The sequence below is a fragment of the Homo sapiens genome, chromosome 2 (genome assembly GCF_000001405.40).
Source record: "Homo sapiens chromosome 2, GRCh38.p14 Primary Assembly".
Lineage (NCBI taxonomy): Eukaryota > Metazoa > Chordata > Mammalia > Primates > Hominidae > Homo > Homo sapiens.
In genome coordinates, this window is record NC_000002.12 from 232,270,958 (window position 1) to 232,291,029 (window position 20,072).

Here is a 20,072-nt window from a genome sequence, read left to right on the forward strand (position 1 = left end):
AGGTCTCTGAAATATCCCAGTGGTTGTGGTCTTAGATTATTCCTTCATCTTTCATATTTTATTTTCATGAGCTCCTCTCTACAAAGAGCTCAATGTGTCACAGACACTTCTCGTTGTGTTACTTATTTTAAAAAGTACTTACAAGGGTCCTAAAATTTAAAACAGCTGAAAGAGGTGGTTGACAGTATCTTGCTAAACTCTTGCTAATGCTGAGACTGGGGAATGACCCCTGCCCCAAGTTAAGGTCCTTTCCTCTCATTAGAATCCTTAAAGAAACCCATTGTGTTTGAAGTGGGGCTGAGAACTGTTGTTGCATTCTCAGATCCTCAGAGAACATTTGTAACTTCACTAGTCTTTTCTCTTACCTCCTGCGTGTATTACCTCTTGGGCATTGTTTGAGTTGGTCTGACATGAATAATTATAAGGAAATCCAGTTGAAAACAGAATCGCTCTGTATAATCTGTGCTCCCATAAGAATTGCTACACTTCTCTTGAAAGTAGTAGTAAACAGTACAGGAAGGCTTCTGCTAGAAGTTCAAGGCTTCCATTTAAACATTGACGACTTACTACTTCAACCGTGGAGATAGTTCTAGAGTCAGCGAGGCTTGAAGAATATTAGCCTCCTACATTTTCCCAGTTACCAATTTTATAATAATATTAGCAAAATTTTCATTTAAATTTATTCATCTCATTTATAAAGTAAATCCACAGCCAAGAATGTGTGCCCTCTTAGCTGTTCAGCACTCAGGCTATCTAGGACAGCCTCCGTGGAAGAGAGTGGGAGGAGGAAGCAGTGAGGGGTGGAACAAGCTGCATCCCTGAGCTTTGGGGAGAACCTGGGAGCGTGAATTTCAGCCGTCGCGGGTGTTGGAATCTCCCCTTTGAGAAAAAGGAAGAGACAGAGATTGATTTAGTTAGTACACTTTATGGAATCAAGGAAAGCAATCCATGGTTATGCATCCCAAGGCATGAACAATAGACAAACTTGAAAACTTGACCTAATTATATATAAGCAACACTAATTACAGCCACTTATGTGTGGTGGCCACTATTTCTGGCTTGTTCACGAGTGCATAAAAACTAATATGTGTCATTAAGCATCAGATTCATTCTGTTGAGTGGCTCATTATTATAACCCTGAACTCTTCATGTGCTTACTCTCCTTGTAGGCAAGTCACCTAGTCATTTACTCATCATTTTCAAAAATTAGAAGGAATACAGGTTGCATTATTCTGGAAGTTGTTAAAAATACAGACTCAGAGGTGATATCCGACCAGTACAGGAGGGTTGCTTCCTGTGTGTTACAAATACTGCTCACAGTTCTGTGAAGGAGCCTTAGGCAGCAGAAGACAAACTTTCTACCCTCAAGCTGCTTCAGCAATTTGAGAACTGTATGTACTTTAAAAAACACCAATAAGATAAAAGCAAGGGCACAGTCTCTTGAAACAGGGCTGACAGAATCGCAAACCCGATGGTTATTTGGTGGGATGGGATTAGGGAAAGAAGGCCAGTTTGGAGGGTGAAGCCGTGAGCCACACTGTGATGAAAGGGAAAAGGAGCTGAAAGGTATGGAGTACCCACGCTGTGAGAGGTAAGGGATTTATCCCCTCACTCCTCTCTCTGAGTGCTGAACCCACTGAGAAATAGTCATGCATATCAGACTGAGATTATTCCATCTATTACTGATACCGTTTGGGTTAGAAGGCAATCTAACAGAACAGCCCAGAAGTAGTTAATGTAAAAAGAAACTGATTGGAGTGATTAGTGAGAGCAGAAAGTAGCCAGAGACAGAGAGAACCATGTCCTCTATCAGACTGGAACTGGGGATGGCCCTTGTGCGACCTTCTCTGCTAGGTGCCCTTCCAGTGCAGGGTCTGCTGGTGAGGACCAGTGGCTAATGCTTCTGCTCTTGGTCAGAACAGCCAGTGCAGATCCTCAGAAGAACTCTGAAAGCAAAATTGACTCCCACCCCACTTCTAGAAGCATTTCACTTGCCTTCTGGTTCTTTCTGCTTGCCTATATCCAGGCTCATTTCTTATAGATGAAGAAAGTCCTACCCCCAGCCTACTCCTCCACCTTCACCCTGTGACCTTCTCCACCTTCACCCTGTGACCTTCTAGGTTCACCTTTTGAAGCTGAAGATTGAAACTCCAAATCCTGCTGCAGAGAAGTTCACATTTGTTTTTCCTAGGCAGGGCCAGCCCATCCACCCCTCCTTCCTAGGGTTTCCCTGATACTTTATTTATACCTGTTACCTGTCTTTATCACACTGTCACATTGTCTTGCCATTTTCCTTTTGCTTCCCTGTCTCCTTTTCTAAGATTGTGAGTTTCTTAAGGGTAAAGACAACATCTTGTCCACCTTTGTATCCCCAGCCCCTGCCCAGTGCTCATTTTTAACCAGGCATTTCAAGGTCTTTAAACATCACTATACATATTGATCTTTTAAAAAAGATGATGGTAGCTGTGTTCAGGAGAGTGGATTGTAGCTCTAGAAGAGAGGCGTGTTTATATAAGAGGATTAGATACATATTATGAGCCAGGGCGGTTTTCTTTCCTTGTGAATGAAAGGGCTGGGTGTTTGATTATTTGCTGGGGCATCCAGGGTTTAGAACAAGGTATAATGAGGACTTTCTCAAGGTGGAGTTGCCTGAACAGGTGTGAGGAGCCAGGAAACTTCGGCACCCCCAGGGCCTGGCAGTGCTTCTGAGGCATCCTGAGCACTTCGGTGCTCACTTCTCAGACCAACTGTGTCCCCTTCAGGGGAGCATGGTGGAAGGGGCACTCCAGGGGAAGGGAAAGAGACCCCAGTGTGCCATGCTGGGAAGGGAGATGCTGGCCTGCTGGCATGGAAAGGTAGGGAGGCACCAAACTTCAGAAGGTTCTCTAGGGTCAGCTACCATTAGCTGTTAGTCCCTAGACCCATGATGGGGATGAAAGCGATTTGTGTATCAAGGTGGCTGTGCAGTCTAATGCTCCTTCTGCAAAATTCTGATCAGAACCTATTTTTGCTTTTAATGGAGATAATTCCCATAAGACAGAGGTTCTGTGTTAGCTGCTGCTGGACTGTCTAAGAGAGGAAGATAACTTATATCCCGGTTGAAGTTGAAAGTGTGCCCAGATGACTCAAACCTAAGTGCCTCGCATCTCCAGGGGACATGAAGTGAGACATAGGGTTCCTGCACTGACCAGGTGATAGGAACTTCCAGGGGTGAGCAGAACCCCAGCCAGCACCCCTTGTTCCTCTCAGAGATGTGAACCTTTCAAGTTAGGGGCCTTGACAAATGGAACAGAATTTGGCTCCTCTAGGACCCTGGCTTTTGGGTAATTATACTCATAATTAGGCAGCACTTGGACTCTCCTCTTTCTGTTCACGGGACACACTGCACGTCCTTGCCCTGCCTCCATGTCACACTCCACGTCACTCATATGTGAGCCAAACAGCTACATCAGAGACGTGGAATTCTTTGACGTTAGTAAAACCTGCATTAGGGAAGGGGAACCCTTGCAGCTGACCCTTAGATTTAAACCATGACTGCTTCTTGGGACAGGCCCAGTTTATTTCGGTTTTCATTGTTCAGTGAGCTGGGGCTCTGCTGCGAAGGCCAGAATCCTTTTGTTCTGTTTGCTCTCTGTCCTAAAGGCTGCTGCCAGACTGAGTTTCCCCAAATGCTGCTTTCCCCTTGCCACTCAAGAGCCTGCAGTCTTATTAAGTAAATATCATGGATCAGTAAGATTTCCAAAACTGTTTTGAAGACAAGATATAATAAGATTGTTGCCTTTTTACTTTACCAAGCAAGGACATTTTCTTTAAAAAGCCAGTTACCATCTACTATCTTCATTATTTTATAAATGAAAACATTTTAGCATGAAAACAAAGACGACATAATTTCACAATATGGAGCAGTCTTTTACGTTGACTTGGTTGAACTTGGTGGAAACCTATTTAATTGTCCTATCTTTTTCTCATTTTGTTTGATCTCAAACCAGCCTGTGAGAACGACTGGATTTCTACATCAAATCTAAGTGCCCCAGCCTTTGGGGGCCTCTGTCAGGTAGCCTGGTGTGGGTGTTCCCTGCTTCCCACTAACCCCTATCCTTCCTCCTCCCTCCTGCCTTGCCTCTGTAGAGTCTGGGCCTCCATTTGATCCCCGCAACCCTACACACCTCACTCCCTCTAGAAGCCTGCTCCAAATAGACTTCCTCTTCCTCCAATATCTCTGGCCCCATTCCCCATCTCTCCCCTAGGTGCCTGGTGCGGAACACCATCAGCTTTCATTCGTTTTGTTTTGCGGTTTTCTTTCTTTACTCCTTTTTATTTTCCTCCCTGCCTGCATTCTTGACTATAACTGTTAAGAAGGCAGATGTCTTACTGTTGCTTCCTTCAGATTTGTAAATCTAGCATGGTGCTGGGCACAGAAGAGGTATGCAGTCCTTTAGTGGGGCATCACTCGGCTAGCTCAGAGCTGTTCACAGTGATCTGATGTCACCTCTGAGGTCCATGGGTGCCCAGGGACACTGTGCCCATTGTATTGTCTACAAGGTGAAAATGTGGTACTGCTCTTCCTCAAGAAACTCCCACATTTTTAAAAGAGTGATAGTATTGTAGCACGGTTTGTTTTGCTTTATAATACTTCTTGATTCCCTTGTTAAGTGACATGGCAGATATTTTTAGACTAAAGACAATTTAAGAGCTTTAAATTATTTTAATTTTATAACTTTAAAATATTCCTTTTGATTTACCTTTTTAATTGCCCACATGTTTTTTTAGTATCTACCAGGTACAAGGTAATCTGCTAGGTGTCCGGGACAAAGACAAGGTTAGAACATGGTCACAGCACTCAGAGTGGCTTACTGTCTCCTGGAAGACGTAGAGGCAGATGGGACAGGGGTGCACAGGAAGAGCCTGGACAGCAGGTGTGCACGTGGCTGCTTTCGTGTTCTACAGTAACACCAGCTGTGGTTTGAAGGGGCCACTTTCAAAGTCAGTTAGAAATGTGGGAACTGTTTAAAAGTTTTCTCCTAGCAACTTGCTCTTATACTAGAAATGCTAAAAACAAATTAGAAATTATTTAATTGCTCCTTGAATCGTGACCTCCTGGGGTAAAGGAAATCTGCCAGAGTAGATGGAGATGAGGGCAACACCCAGGGAGGGAATCCCAACAGGTTTCTTATCTGCTTGTCAGCATGAGGCTGGTAGCCTCCTAAATAAGAAGATGTGCTAATGAATAGCAGAGTCTACTGGTTTCGAAGCACATTTGAACAGAGAGCTGTGACTGAGCTCTGAGAATGCTGGCTTGGCCATTAGGCAGTTTGAAACTGATTTGCTACTGTCAGTTTCGACCCGTAAATAACAGGGCGCTCTCCCCTTTCATTCTCCTGCCTGCCACCTGCCAGCCAAGCTCTCAGGCTTACCCACCTCCCTGGTGGCTATGCCAGAGCACAGCTGAGCTCACCTCGAGGGGAGCAGAGCTCCTATCTTTCCTGGACCCTCCTGGCTGCCTAGTTTCCTGGCTGGGATTCCTGACCCCTGGTTGCCAAGACTACCTTGTTGGTCCCTGTGGAGTTCTGTCCTGTTTGCCCAGAGGCCTCGCTCAGACTTGTTCCTTTTTGGTACATGTTTCCACTCCAGACTGCCCCAGGCCCCAACTCTCAGCTCTCCTGTTGCTACCAGCTTCCAGTCAATGACTGTTTATTTGAACATCTCCTGCGCAACAAGAGAATGTAGTGATCAAGAGCATGGACCCTGGGTCAGACTGCCTGGGTTCTGATCCCGACTCCCTCACTTAGCTGTGTGACTCTAACTCTTCTGTGCCTCAGTTTCCTTGTCAGTGAAATGGAGAGCATAACAGTACCTACGTTATAGGAATATTAGGTTAGATGAGATGTACCCGTAAAACACTTGGAACAGTGCCTGACACATAGCAAGCACCCAGCAGGGATTAGCTGTGTGGCCAGATGGTGAGAAAGGGCCCACTTCTGTCTTCACAGAAGAGCTACTTTAACACAGAGGTGAACTTGGAAGGACTACAGTAAACGATGGTGGCCATCAGCAGCCATGGCATGGAGACATCGCCTCCTTTATGATACTTCCAGTCGATCTGGGAGGTGGGGGAGGATTTGAAATGTAAATGCAAGGCAGAGTGAGCCTCATTGCCCCCTGCAGGGAAGCAGAACAGTCTGGTTTGGCTAGGTCCCTGAAGGGAGCTCCGTGGTGAGGGATCAGCCTAGGCATGGTGGTGCTGAGTTCCTTAATGGGGTAAGATTTGGGAGCAAGGAAGGCAAAGGGATGCAGCTCTGAACATCACGCCCCAAGTCACGCAAATGTGAGCTGCAAAGTATTTCATCCTGTTTTGATAACTAGGCCAGAGTGCATCACACCCGCTAACGTTGGTGCAGCTGGAATGTTTCCAGTTTTTGCTGTTATAAATAACACTGCAATTAATACTCTTATGCATAAAATTCAAAAATCATTTTGGATTATTTCCTTAGGAGTACATTCTTAAAATTACTAGATTGAAGGAAATTAACTTTTTTTTCTGTGCTACTTTTCTCTTTCTTACTACCTTTTATTATTTTATTATAAAAGTAATACATATTTATTTTATAAAAATTTAGAAATTGACCAAAAGCAGCCATTGTTCACCTATCACTGAGTAATAACATTTTTCTATATATCCTAAGGCGTGTACGTGTACATTTTTAGAGCTTTTGACTTTGAGATTACAGTCACACATTGCTTAATGACAGGGACACATTCAGAGAAATATGTCGTTAAGTGATTTTGTCAGTGTGCAACATCATAGGGTGTACTTAGACTAACCTAGATGGGATAGCCTACGACCCACCTAGGCTTTGTGGTTTACACAGTTGCTGCTCCTAGTCTACAGACCTGTACAGCATGTGACTGTGCTGAATACTCCAGGCAGTTGGAACAAGTGCTATGTATTTGTACACTTAAACGTAGAAAAGCACAATAAAAATATGGTATTCTAATCTTATGGGACCACTGGCAGATATGGGGCCCATCGTTGGCCAAAACTTTCTTAATGCAGCACATGACTGAATTTTCCAGAAAGGTTAGACTAATTTAGGTTTTCCTCAGCAGGAAACAATAGTGCATTGTTACTGCTTCTCACTAAATTGAGAGTTTGTTAATACGATAGATTGGAAATTGTGTTTCATTATTGCTTTGACTCGCATTTGTTTTCCTGCTTGTGGGCTCAATCAACTCTTCAATCCTCTTTTTGCCATTTCTGTGAAAGGGCACATTTTACCATTTTATATGGTATCACTAGAATCTTATAATACCTTAAGCACTAGACCTACCAGCCACATTTAGCTAAAAGCACTTTTTTCCCTGCTAAGGTATACTTACATACAGTAAAATCCACCCTTTTTAGTGTACAGTTCTGCAAGCTACACGTATAGTCATGTAATTGCCACCACAATCAAGATACAGAACAATTCCATCACCCCAGAAAATTCCCACGTGCCCCTCTGTAGTCAGTTCCTCTTCCCTAGCCTCAGCCCCTGGCAACCATTAACCTGTTTTGCCTCTTTATAGTTTTGCCTTTCCAGAATGTCACACAAATGGAATCATTCCGTTGGTAGCATTTTAAGTCTGGCCTGTTTCACTTAGCATGAAAGTGCATTTGAGGGTCGTCCATGTTGTTGTGTGTATCAGTGGTCATTCCCTTTTGTTGCAGAGTAGTATTCTGTTGTATAGATATACCACAGTTTGTTTATCCACTTACCAGTTGAAGAATATTTGGCTAGTTTCCAGTTTTTGGCAATATGAATAATGCTGTATTTGCCTACAGGCTTTTGTATGACCATTTTTTCCATTTTACTTGGGTAAATATTTGGAATAAGATTGCTCGGTCATATGGTTAAGTGTATATTTAACTTCATAAAGAACTTCCAGTTTTCCAAAGTGACTATACCACTTTGCATTCTCATCAGCAATTTTTTGTTTGTTTGTTTGTTTTTGTTTTTGAGATGGAGTTTCGCTCTTGTTGCCCAGGCTGGAGTGCAATGGTACAATCTTGGCTCACTGCAACCTCCGCCTCCTGGGTTCAAGTGATTCTCCTGCCTCAGCCTCCTGAGTAGTTGGGATTATAGGCATGTGCCACCACGCCCAGCTTATTTTTTGTATTTAATAGAGATGGGGTTTCACCATATTGGTCAGTCTGGTCTCAAACTCCTGACCTCAGGTGATCTACCCACCTCGGCCTCTCAAAGTGCTGGGATTACAGGCGTGAGCCACCATGGCCAGCTGAGAATTCTATTTCTTATGTGCTTGTCAGCACTTGGTATTGTCAGTTTTTTATTTGTTTTGTTTTTTAGGTGTGGTGATAGGTGCATAGTGGTATTTCATTGTGGTTTTAATTTGAATTTCCCTAATGACAAATTCTGTTGAGCATCTTTTCATATGTATACTTGCTGTCTGCATATCTTCTTTGGTGAAGTGTCTGTTCATATCTTTTGCCCATTTTTAATTGGGTTGTTTGGTTTCTTATTACTGAGTTTGGAGAATTGGTGTGTGTGTTTGTTTGTTTGTTTGTTTGTTTGTTTGTTTGTTTGTTTTTTGAGATAGTCTTGCACTATCGCCCAGGCTGGAGTTCAGTGGTGCAATCTCAGCTCACTGCATCCTCTACCTCCTGGGTTCGAGTGATTCTCCTGCCTCAGCCTCCCAAGTAGCTGGGATTACAGACAACCACCACCACGCCCGGCTAATTATTTTATATTTTTAGTAGAGATGAGGTTTCACTATGTTGGCCAGGCTTGTCTCAAACTCCTGACCTCGTGATCTGTCCACCTCGGCCTCCCAAAGTGCTGGGATTACAGGCATGAACTACCACGCCTGGCCTGGAAAGGATTTTTAAAAATATTTTAGATACAAATCCTCTACCAGGTTTGTGATTTGCAAATACTTTCTCCTAGTCTTTGGCTTGTCATTTCATTTCTTCTCTCTCCATTCTCTCTGGCTTATCTTTTCCTGTCTTTTGAAAAGCAGAAATTTTTCATTGTTATGAAGTCCAATTTATCAATCTATTTTATGGATTGTGCTTTTGGTGTCATATCTAAGAAACCTTTGACTAACCCAAGGTCAGAAAGATTTTCATCTGTTTTCTTCTGAAGGTTTTATAATTTTAGGATTTACATTTTAGTTTCTTCCTTTTTTAAAACATATTGCCCAGGCCTAGAAGTTTCTTTTGGAAAACAGTTGCACCTGAGAAGATTTGGGATGGAGTTGGTCCTAGGAGCCTTGCCAGGCATGATGCTCTCTGTGAGCCATCTGAAAAGGAGGTGTGTGCCTTAGAAGTTGCCCGAGGGGTGGCTTTTAAACAGATACCAGGCTTCTCTGGCTTAAGATTTGGCATCAAACTGAAGATTGTATCATTTGAAAAGAGGGTATGGGATGATTAGAGAAAAACCTCCAAACTTTCTAGATAAGTCCTTCTAACTGTTGCACAAAGTTGAAATGAAGAATGGTGCCAAACACAGGACTTTGCCGATTACATGTGAACACCCATGTCAGTGACTCACCCAATCATGCTTTAATCTCATAACTGAGAGGCTTTAAAAAATTATAGTCAACAAGGCAGCTTGCTAGTTATGACTGCCATTGGAATGGAGTTTTCCTCAGAACAGCTGGAGTGTAATGTGGTGGGAAGAAAGCCTGGTGTGGGTGAGAGACCAAGGATTGCTTGCCTGGGAAGGATGTGCAGCTAATGTTTGATGGAAATCTGTGAGATGACCAACCTCAGCCAAGCTACATAGAGGCCCTCCATACACTGCAGCCGAAGTGCTCAGAAAACAACAATGATAATTGGCACTGTATCACCGCAAGAGAGATAAAACACAGCTCTGTCTTCAAGAAATGCATGGTCCACTCTGTGATCCATGCTAGGTTGTAGAAGCTGGCAGAAGATTCCAGTTCCAGTAAGGCAAGGCAGTTGAGAGCAGCCTGGAAATGGCTTCTCCAAGAATGTCCCAGGCAGAGCATTGCCGTGGGTTGGTTTGTTCTGGAATGTACAGGCCATTGGTGTGGCTGTGTCAGAGGAAGGGCTCCCAGTGGTGGTGGGAAATGTTGGGGATGTAACCAGGGCTGATCTGGAGGAACTTGTTTGCTCTGCCTTGAAATATGAGTGTTTTCGGCTGGGCACGGTGGCTCACACCTATAACCCAGCACTTTGGGAGGCCGAGGCGGGTGGATCACAAGGTCAGGAGATCGAGACCATCCTGGCTAACATGGTGAAACCCCATCTCTACTAAAAATACAAAAAATTAGCCGGGCGTGGTGGCGGGCGCCTGTGGTCCCAGCTATTTGGGAGGCTGAGGCAGGAGAAGGGCGTGAACCCGGGAGGCGGAGCTTGCAGTGAGCCGAGATGGCGCCACTGCACTTCAGCCTGGGTGACAGAGCAAGACTCTGTCTCAAAAAGAAAAAAAGAAATATGAATGTTTTCTTGAATTCAACTTGGTGCTGTTGAAGCATTTTACATATAGGAGTTGTGGGATGGGACCTCTTTTTTAGAAAGATCTCTTTGGCAGCTCTGTAGAGAATGAGTTGGAAGGGGTCAAGGTGTAGACATCAAGGAAGCCAGTTAGATGGCTGTGGCTGTATGCAGGTGAGGCCACACAGCTGACAGGAGGGAACAGATGAGAGAAGTGGAATCAGAACCACAAAAGGGAGGGGGGACACCTGGATATGCCCAGGTTTCTGACAGGCAGGAAGACGTGCCACCCAGGAGCATCATCGGCACCACCCAGGGGAGGAAGAGCAGGCATTGGGTGGAGACCCTCCAGGCTTGAGGTGCGTGAGCTGCCCACTTAAAGACGCTTGCCAGGTGGCTGGACCGGAAGTCTGCTGCTCCTCTTCTACCTTGCCACAGGCTGCTGCCTCTGAGTTAAAGAGACATGGGAAGCATCGGGATTGCTCATACCTCCCAAAGTACAGCAGGAAGGACTAGAAGCAATATGAAATCTAATTGGCAAGACCACGGTGAGCACACAGGCACTTAGGAGCAGCACGTGGCACCCATGAAAGCCTCCATCCCCTGACAGTGAGCCCAGAGGCTACTGTGGAGCAGGAGGAAACCAGCCGTCCTTCCTCCTTGCTTGCACCCTCCCTCCTCACCTCCTACTCTCTGTCTTTCCAGCTGAGCCCTTCTCGTTTATTTAAAAAAAAAAAAAAAAAAAAAAAAGGGAATTCACTCCCAGTCCTTTTGAAACCCAACATGTCAGTGATAGATGAGGGCGTATTCTGTAACTTCAAAGGAGAAAAGTTGAGTGAGTGAATGTGGGCCAGAGGAGTTGAAAAGTCCAAGGGAACAGGAGACCCATGGGGTGACCCCACCATCAGGAGGAGTGCCCCCCATCCCACCCCTGCTGGTGCCATGCAGAGGCACAGACAATGCCACTTTCAATAAATCATGAAGGATTCTGAATGCCTGGTTTTGTCCCATTTTCAATGGGCCTTGGGCATATTGCTCAGATATAGCCAGCCATTTGTGCAAGGTTCCCAGCTACTCAAAGGCTCAAAGTCGAGTGCTCTTTCCACTATATAATGGAGTCTTCACATATGTGATTTTGGGGGAGATGTTTTCAGATTTCCATAGCTAGTCATAGTAAAGATGACCTCGTGGGCAGTTCAGGCCATTGTCCCCTTCTCACATCCAGCCTTTGAGTAAGGCTGCGCTTTCAGGAGTATCCATGCAGCACCTAATTCAATCACACATCTGACCCCTGCCTCTCTTTCGCACTGGCCCCTTCTCTGTGCTCAGTGTGCTGCTGGGGGCCTCTGCACAAACCCGGCTGTTCTGGAGGCGTCCTGTGCTAAGCAGAGAGCACTTGGCCATTTTCCCCACTTTCTGAATTCAGGGCCCCCTGGTGAATCTGGCGTGGGGATGGCTGCCTGTTCTCATGAGGCTGCGCACATGAAGGCGCCTGTTGGAAGCGCCTTTTAAGAATCCCCAGGTTGTTTCCATCCTGGAGTCTTGCAAAGAAAGAGGAAGAATAACCTGGGGTCATTTAAGGGCTGGCATGGTCATTTCCTTAATCATCTGTGACCACTGAGAGCCTTATTTTCTATAAAGAAGCACAGAGGCTTCTTTGGCTTTGCTTTAGTAACAACAAACAGCTAGAATTTATTGAGAGCCTGCAGTTTGCCAAGTGCTTTCACACATTCGATCATTTAATCCTCAAGCCTTTTACCCTTGTTTAGAGATGAGGAAACTGAGACTTGAGCTTAAACACTTGTCAAAACTCACATAGCTAGAGGTGGCAGAACTAGGATGGAATCATTTCTCTTTTTATTTGAGGCAGGGTCTTGCTCTGCTGCCCGGGCTGGAGTGCAGTGGCATGAACATGGCTCACTGCAGTCCTCCTAGGCTCGAGTGATCCTCCCACCTCAGCCTCCTGAGTAGCTGGGATTATAGGCACGTGTCTTCATGCTCAGCTAATTTTTTTGAGTTTAGTAGAGATAAAGTCTTACCGTGTTGCCCAGGCTGGTCTCCAACTCCTGGGCTCAGGCAGTCCTTCTGCCTCTGCACCCCCATAGTGTTGGAACTACAGGTGTTGTGAGCGACTGGGCCAGGACTAGGCCCAGTCTATTTCTTATTCTGCTTACTTTTTCATTTCTCTCGGTAGATGTTGATGTTGTTTTATATTCTTCTAAAAATCTAAAAAATGGATCAAGTCCTGACCTTAGGATTATTTGAAGAGCTATTTAAAATGCTGTATGATTCCATTTAGGTAACATCCTCAAAATGACAGATTTATAGAGAAGGAGAACAGGTAGGTAGTTGCCAGGAGCTAGGGATGGCGGGGGGAGCAGAGGGTGGCCCAAGGGAGAGCTGTGTAAGGATGGGACAGTCTGTATGTAGATTGCCATGGCAGTTACACAAATGTACGTGTGTGACCAAAATGGCATAAAACTAGACACACCCATTATGCCAATGTCAGTTTCCTGCGTTTGATATTGTGCTATAATTATGTAAGATGGAACCTTGGGTGGAAATTGGAGATGGGCACGTGGAACCTTTCTATACTACCTTTGCAATTTCCTGAAGCTATAATTATCTCAGAATAAAAAGTGGGTTGTTTTTTTTTTAATTCCTCTGTGTGCAACACCAGCATTGCCCCCAGGAAATAGCCAGGTCTCAGTTCAGGGGCTGCTTGCCATCAGAAAGCAAGCCACATCACACAGTCAAAGTTGGCCTAGAAGTGGGGCACAAACTAGAAGAGGGTCCAGGTTTTATCGCCTGTCAGATGTGAGCTTAGGCTCTCTCGACTTATGGGAAAGCACTGAACTGAGAGTCAGGGCCCCCGGGCTCAAGTATCAGGGCTGCAGTTGTGTGACCCAGAGCAAGCTTCTCAACTTCTGTGAGCCTCCAGCTTCCCAGCTGTAAAGTAGGCATGGTAACTGCACCCACCCTGTGAGTCTGGCAGAATGTGTTGATGTGCTTAGTATCATCTTCGATACCACGATCAATGTTATTATTTTATCTTTTCCCAATTTTACTCCCAACTTTGCAGTCAGACCAATCTCTTGTGTATTCATGGAACATTGAATATTCATTCTTATTTTCTCTGCTTTTGATCATTTATTCCTTCAACAATTATTATTGAGCACCTGTTTTGTTGAAAATTCTGGAAGGCACTAGGGATACATTGATGGACATGCCCCATGTGGTCTTTGCCCCGGGAGAGCTAAAGGTCTGTTTTTTTCCCCATCACCTGGAATCTCTCCTGAGTGCATCCATCGTTCAGATCCTTGCTGTCCTGCCAGACCTGAGGCCTCATCTACACCATGCAGGCCCCTCTACCAGATCATTCTCTAAGCTCCCTCAGTATTAGAGGCAGTGCAGCTCAGTCATCTTTGCCAACCTTTATCCTGAACCTCCCATGGGACCTGGCATGGAGCTGCACACCACAGAGAGAATGCTTAGCAGGTGCTTGCCCACAGAACTGTGAAAGGAGAGCCCGAAGGAGACTTAGACAGGAGCCTTTTGAGGCTTTCATTTTACAGATGAAGTCCTGAATAGGGGCCCTGGACTAAATAATAGGAAGTGGCTATAAGGGTCCCCAACCCATTTTTAATAGGATAATGCTAGTTCTTATATTGATCTTAATTTTTGTTGTTGTTTTGGGTTTTTTTTCTTTATTTCTGTTCTGCAGTTTTTGGACTAGCTGACTGACATTTCCTCTTTTAACCTTTTACAGACCCTGAAAGAAGCTCTAGTTCAGGTCTTATTACTACTTAGCTGTGTGACTGGGCCACAACTGGGGGCAGGTTCATTGAATTGAAAAGGTGAAGCCAACCTATCTCTCACCTGCTCTCCCTGAGTGGACTCACCTAGCACCTGCAGGCTCCAAGCTTGACATTGCCTGGAGGGAGCCCACCCAGGCATCCCCTTCCTCCAGTCCAGCCTCTCCACCTGCAACTGGGTGGGTCAGTCTACTGAGCTCTCACCTGATTCTTCAGCGCCCACCTTAATTGACAGTGAGCCTTGAGGAGGCTGACATTCTTAATGCCATTTGCAGTTCTCTGTTAGAATCTAGAGAAGGGGAAAGGTAAATTGTTGCAACTTGCAGCCTCCAACACAGTGTCCCTGTTTGTGGGAGAAGAAACAGGAAGTGTGGCCCAGTAGGAAATGCCAAGACTTTAGAGCCGTATGGGTTTGAGTTCCATTTCCAGGTTGGCCGGGGTTGATTTATGTATTGCCAGACCTTGGGCAGGTCAGTTACTTAACCTCCCTGAGCCTCAGTTCCCTCACCTTTAAGATAGGAGCAGTGATACCTGGACACTTGTTCCTGGCACAGTCTCTGGTTGCATGTGGAACCTGTGATTCCTACTGCTTATCACGGGGCCCTGCATTGCCTTAACTTAAAGCCTTTGTGGGGATCACAAAGAGTAAACTTACACTGGGGTTTCTCTACAGGGACTTAAAATCTAGTTGGGACAATATGATTGTTAAACAAGTACACAGCTAGAGACATGTTTCAACTTGAGAATAACTGAGAAGAATCAGGCCATGATAGAAGCAATTTTCATGTATCCAGACTGTCAGAAGCCAGCCCTCTGCCATGCTCCAACAGGCTGGGGTGGCCTCTTCCTTCCCCAGGCAGAGATTAATGGACAAGTTGTTACTAGTGCTGAGGTTCTGGGCAGCTTCCTTGTGGAGGCACATCTGTTGACCCAGCAGGGCCTTGGAAGCTTTTTTTCAGTCGTGAGCTTCATCTAGTGGCATAGGGCCTCCCTGATGCTGGTGCTCTGGAGCTAGCGTCACTGGGTCATAAAATCAGGGCTGCCTTGATTTTATCAAGGGCTGACCCCGTGTCAGCACAGCCACAGGAGAGCAGTGTAGTGGTAGTGGGGCTGCTGAGGCAGACAGCAAGGCTTTGAAGCATTGTATCTTCCTGCTGCGGCCCAAGGAGTCCTACAGAAAGCAAGCCACAGAGAGAGTGTTTCCCAGATACTGCTCAGGTAAAGAAATTGGACCTTATTGTTGTAGAAATTACTCAGGTTTTAGAGTGATCACATTTGGAAATATTGAGTCCCAATCAGCTTGTTCCAGCATGTCATGTTTTGAATTCTGATCTCAACTCATTATCAGGAATAACCTCTGGCCTTACTGTATAATACATCAAGAACATCATTGAGTTTCCGCTATAGCTAGGCACTGTTATTATCTCTTTTTTACATAGGAGGCACCTAAGGTAAAAGAGATTACATACTAACAGGAAGTAAAGCTGGGATTCAAAACCCAGCAGCCTAAAGAGGCTGTACCCTTTACTTCTCTACTAAGCAGCCCCCTGTTATTGGGGTTTTATTTTTGAGATAGAGTGTCACTCTTGCCCAGGCTGGAGTGCAGTGGCACAATCTTGGCTCACTGTAACCTCTGCCTTCCAGGTTCAAGAGATTTCCTGCCTCAGCCTCCTGAGTAGCTGGGATTACAGGCGTGAGCCACCGCGCCTGGCCTGTCATTGGTTGTTTTCATAGGTAGAAGTGTTCACAAGCAGAAGTTCCTTCCTTTTGTCAAAGGTGTTTCCCTGGCAGAAAGGTGGAAGCAAGAGCATAAACTCTGTCTGACAGGCAGAAAGGTAGACTAGAAGATCTAGACTAGACTAAAAAGTTAGACTTTGAGATCCTCTGTCTGTCCCCTGAGTTCTAGCCCTACAGCCTCTAGAGAGATTACATGGCAGCTAGAGGGAAAACAAGTTTCTGCTTAATGAAAACATTCCCCTAAGATTATTGTGAAACTTATTTTTTTAACATTTAACATTGTGTCTAGTTTCTTAAATGATTTTCAACTGTGAGATTATCCAAGGAGTTTTTTATTACCAAAGCTAATTTTTCATAGTTAGCATTACAAATAGAAAGTTTGTTCATTTTCCTTCTTTTTATCCTTTCCTTCCCCCCGCGCCCCCCCCCCCCCCCGCTTTTATTACATAGAGACAGGGCCTCACTCTGTTGCCAGGCTAGAGTGCAATGGCGTGATCATAGCTCAGTGCCGCCTCAAATTTCTGGGCTTAAATGACCCTCCCACTTCAGCCTCCTGAGTAGCTGGGACCACAGGTGCATGCCTGTGCTGATTTTTAAATGTTTTGTAGAGACGGAGGTCTCGCTCTGTTGCCCAGGCTGCTCTCAAACTCATAGCCTCCAGCAGTCCTTCCATCTCAGCTCCCAAAGTGCTGTGATTACAGACGTGAGCCACCTCACCCAGCCCCATTTTCCTTCTTAATGGATCCTGGCCCTTCCAAATACCCTCCATTTGGTCTTTGTATTTCATATTAACAGTAAACTTTTGTCTGTACTGTTTTAAACTTCACAATACGCGTGGGTTCTTTAGTTTTTACCACAGTTAAAACAGCATCTCTTAGACTGATATGTCATTCTGTAAAGAAATAGACTATCTAAGACACAACTAATTATCTTGGAATAGGAACTTCAGGTAACCCCAGGTATGGGCCCCATAGGTGTCCCTTCCAGACTGTTCTGAGCGACCAATTAAGAGATGTCAGATCAATGGGCATTTTGTGGCTGGATGGTAGTGGAAAGTGATTCTTCTACCAGGAGGTGCTGCTAACCCCATTGTTGCAGGTTGAAGCCAGGGTGTAGGAGCAGGGGAGCAGGCAGCTGGGGAAGGAGGTAGATTGGCTGCCCCAGGTCCAGAAGGGACCTGAGATGGCAGTGTAGTTCTGGAATATGTTATCCAGATATTTGGCCTTGTCTGGGAGGAAGGAAGCAGAATTAGCACGGAATCAAGTCCTGAACTTTGATGGGAGCTCTTAGCTGCGTAAGACAGCCTTATGCAGGAGAACTCTTCACTGCCACTTGGTTCTCATTAAAACATCTGAAGATGTGAGCACTGGCTCTTCTGAAATCGTAGAGCGTCTCTTCTAACTGATATAGCAGGGGCTTATTATGAGTGCTTTCTTCCAGCAAACCTAGAAAGTGTCTCACATTCACCCGTAAAACAAACCATGAGGACAACCATAGAGGAACTCAGCTCTGTTTAACAGGTAGAAAGTCTAGGACCATCGGAACCCCACCACCAACCCCAGAATCTGGGAGAGAACAGAGACAAGGTCAGAGCTGCTGGCTCCCCGCTTGGGGTTATATAACTCCCCGACTCCTCAAGTCCCTGGAAACTGAGGCCAATTCCCTGGAAGATCATTCTGTTCTCTGCTGTTTTTTCAAGAATACAGCCAGCTTGATCACTGGCTCTGAGTATTGTATGGGAATGTCCCGTTTTCTTTTTTTTCCATGAACTGAATGCCTACCATTATGGTCATTGTTTCATCAGTCTGTGTTTAAACTTGCCTGGATCTCATATTTTTATGTATGTTTGGCTTATATTTTGAAGAACTTTGCTTTGTTTATATATACCCTCATCTGTTTCCAAAAAGATTTTGAGAGGACTTACAACAAAGGAAATGAACAGTGAGCTGCATTTAAATAATAGAAAGACAGAAAATCAGAATGAAGGAGAGGAGTGTCAGAAAGAATTTGACATCTGTAAGGGTGGGCACAGCTCCTGTGACTGGGCTTCATGTTTTCTGATTTCAATATCACAGATGCAGTCGTCCTGCTTGGTGGCGTGGGGGAGGGAGAGTTTACAAGGTTATCTCTTACAACAAACCCCATCGAACATTGAGAATTATTTTTCTTAGCACCTAAAAGCAGCTTCTCACTTAAGGCTTGATATTGGAAATATTCAGTGTTACAACAGTGGACAGCGTTTGCATTTTGGGCAAATGAGGAAAGAGTTTTTTGTTTTTTGTTTTTTTTTTTTGGAGACTTGTCCAGGCCTTGCCCAGTTACTGGCCCGTGTTCTTGCCTCTCTCATGTCTGAGATCGCAGTGGCACCATCTTGGCTCACTGCAACCTCCGCCTCCTGGGTTCAAGCGATTCTCCTGCCTCAGCCTCCCGAGTAGCTGGGATTACAAGTGCCCGCCACCACGCCCAGCTAATTTTTGTATTTTTAGTAGAGATGGGGTTTCACCATGTTGGCCAGGCTGATCTTGAACTCCTGACTTCAGGTGATCCACCTGCCTTGGCCTCCCAAAGTGATGGGATTATAGGCATGAGCCACCGCGCCCAGCCAGGAAAGAGATTTTATAAGGCTATTTCTTAAGACAAAATCTGGTGAAAATAGAGGAACATACTAACCCACCCTTGAGGAAGGCAGGTGCTAGAGAGCCAAGCTCATATGATCTACACACATAACTATCCTCTATCCTAATCTGATTCCAGGATAAAGTGTAGACCATCTCTGAGTGGGTGGAGAGCCTGTCGCTTGGGCTACTTCTGTTTCCCTTCCCTTTGCTGAGTGTTTGACCAGGGCTGTGTAGCTGTGGGAGGCTTCCACAAGGTCTGCAGCTTGGGTAGGACCACTGCTGAGGGCAGGACCACAAGCTTTATTTAGAAAGCAGATAGATAGGTAACAGAATTAGTATATTCTATATGCAAGGAAATCTAGATAGCATCTTTCCCAGGTGCACAACCATCTCTGTGCATTGGAAGGGGTGATATGCAGTTCCTGCAGTCAGCACTGGCACTTTCCTGTGGAAGCAGCTTTGGGTAACTGCATTCCTTCGACAGTAGTTGGCCTGAGGCCCCTGAGCTCTGAGCACAAATGGTTTGATAAGGTGATGTTCTAACGCAGTCATCCTCTTTGGCCATGAAAATCCTCAAAAATTCTCCAGCTTTGATTAGGATGAGCAGATTGGCTGCACTCTCTCTCCAGCTGGCTGCATGTGACACACGCAGACTTGCTCATCATGCTTTGTATTCACTGTTGCATATTGCTCAGGCACGTGAGAGGCAAGAACATGGCCCACTAACTGGGCAGGTCCTGATCGGGAAGCTGCTGAGGTAAAGGTGCTCCTGTTCTGCTAAAGGAGACCCTGGGATCAGGGACGAGCTCTTCCTTGCTGGGCTCACCCAGTAATACAGGTCGTGTGGGACAGTGGTGAGCCGAACTCTCCTGCCATAGACGTGCTGGTGAGCAATGGAGTCACCTTCAGAAGAGGAGGCGGCTTGACCTGGGGGCATGAATGCTACCACCAGGCCCTTTTCTCCTGGGACTGGCTCCTTCCTACAGAGCAACCCTCCCTGTGGGTTGACCATAGCTCCAAAGACAGACGTTTTTTCTTCTCAGAAAGTAAAACCTCAGCATTGAAGAATCCTTGTCCTGTCATTTTTAACCTTAATGAGAACAGAGCAAGCCTCTGGAACAAGGTGCAGCGCAGTCAGGAGAAGTGGCTTTAAGTGAAAACACAGCTGTGGGGTTTACAGACGGCGCTGCAGGGAGGCATCATCCAATGGGAGCGGCCAGCCTCGCTATAGACTTTCCAACACTAATGAATCGGGAACTCCATGCTGAATAGGGTTTAGTTTGATGGGTCCCTGTGCCAGCAGAAGGATGTATTTTTCTTGAAAGACCAAGGTGCCAGAAATCTCCATGATTACGTTACTGGAGAAAGGTTCTTTTTTGTGGTTTGTGAAGTTGAGCGTCAGGACTGCAGGATTCTCTTGCTCTTTCTCACTCTTATTTTTTC

General features: G+C 45.4%; 1 protein-coding gene across 4 annotated transcripts in view, besides 4 other annotated features; it reads left to right on the top strand.

Moving 5' to 3' along the window:
• Positions 1-20,072, top strand: part of DIS3L2 (DIS3 like 3'-5' exoribonuclease 2) — a 382,638-nt gene that overhangs the window by 309,245 nt on the left and 53,321 nt on the right. The window lies entirely within an intron of this gene.
• Positions 5,256-5,305: a silencer, noted in NCBI's record as "silent region_12456". NCBI's record gives its function as "represses an Ori minimal core promoter by ATAC-STARR-seq in GM12878 lymphoblastoid cells {active_cell/tissue: GM12878}" and the evidence as "EXISTENCE:reporter gene assay evidence [ECO:0000049][PMID:35858748]".
• Positions 5,356-5,405: a silencer, noted in NCBI's record as "silent region_12457". NCBI's record gives its function as "represses an Ori minimal core promoter by ATAC-STARR-seq in GM12878 lymphoblastoid cells {active_cell/tissue: GM12878}" and the evidence as "EXISTENCE:reporter gene assay evidence [ECO:0000049][PMID:35858748]".
• Positions 5,882-6,397: an enhancer, noted in NCBI's record as "OCT4-NANOG-H3K4me1 hESC enhancer chr2:233141549-233142064 (GRCh37/hg19 assembly coordinates)". NCBI's record gives its function as "activates a minimal SCP1, AML or CMV promoter by ChIP-STARR-seq in naive H9 embryonic stem cells {active_cell/tissue: H9 hESC(naive)}" and the evidence as "EXISTENCE:reporter gene assay evidence [ECO:0000049][PMID:30033119]".
• Positions 5,942-6,236: a silencer, noted in NCBI's record as "tiled region #824; K562 Repressive non-DNase unmatched - State 24:Quies". NCBI's record gives its function as "represses a minimal TATA promoter and a strong SV40 promoter by Sharpr-MPRA in K562 cells {active_cell/tissue: K562}" and the evidence as "EXISTENCE:reporter gene assay evidence [ECO:0000049][PMID:27701403]".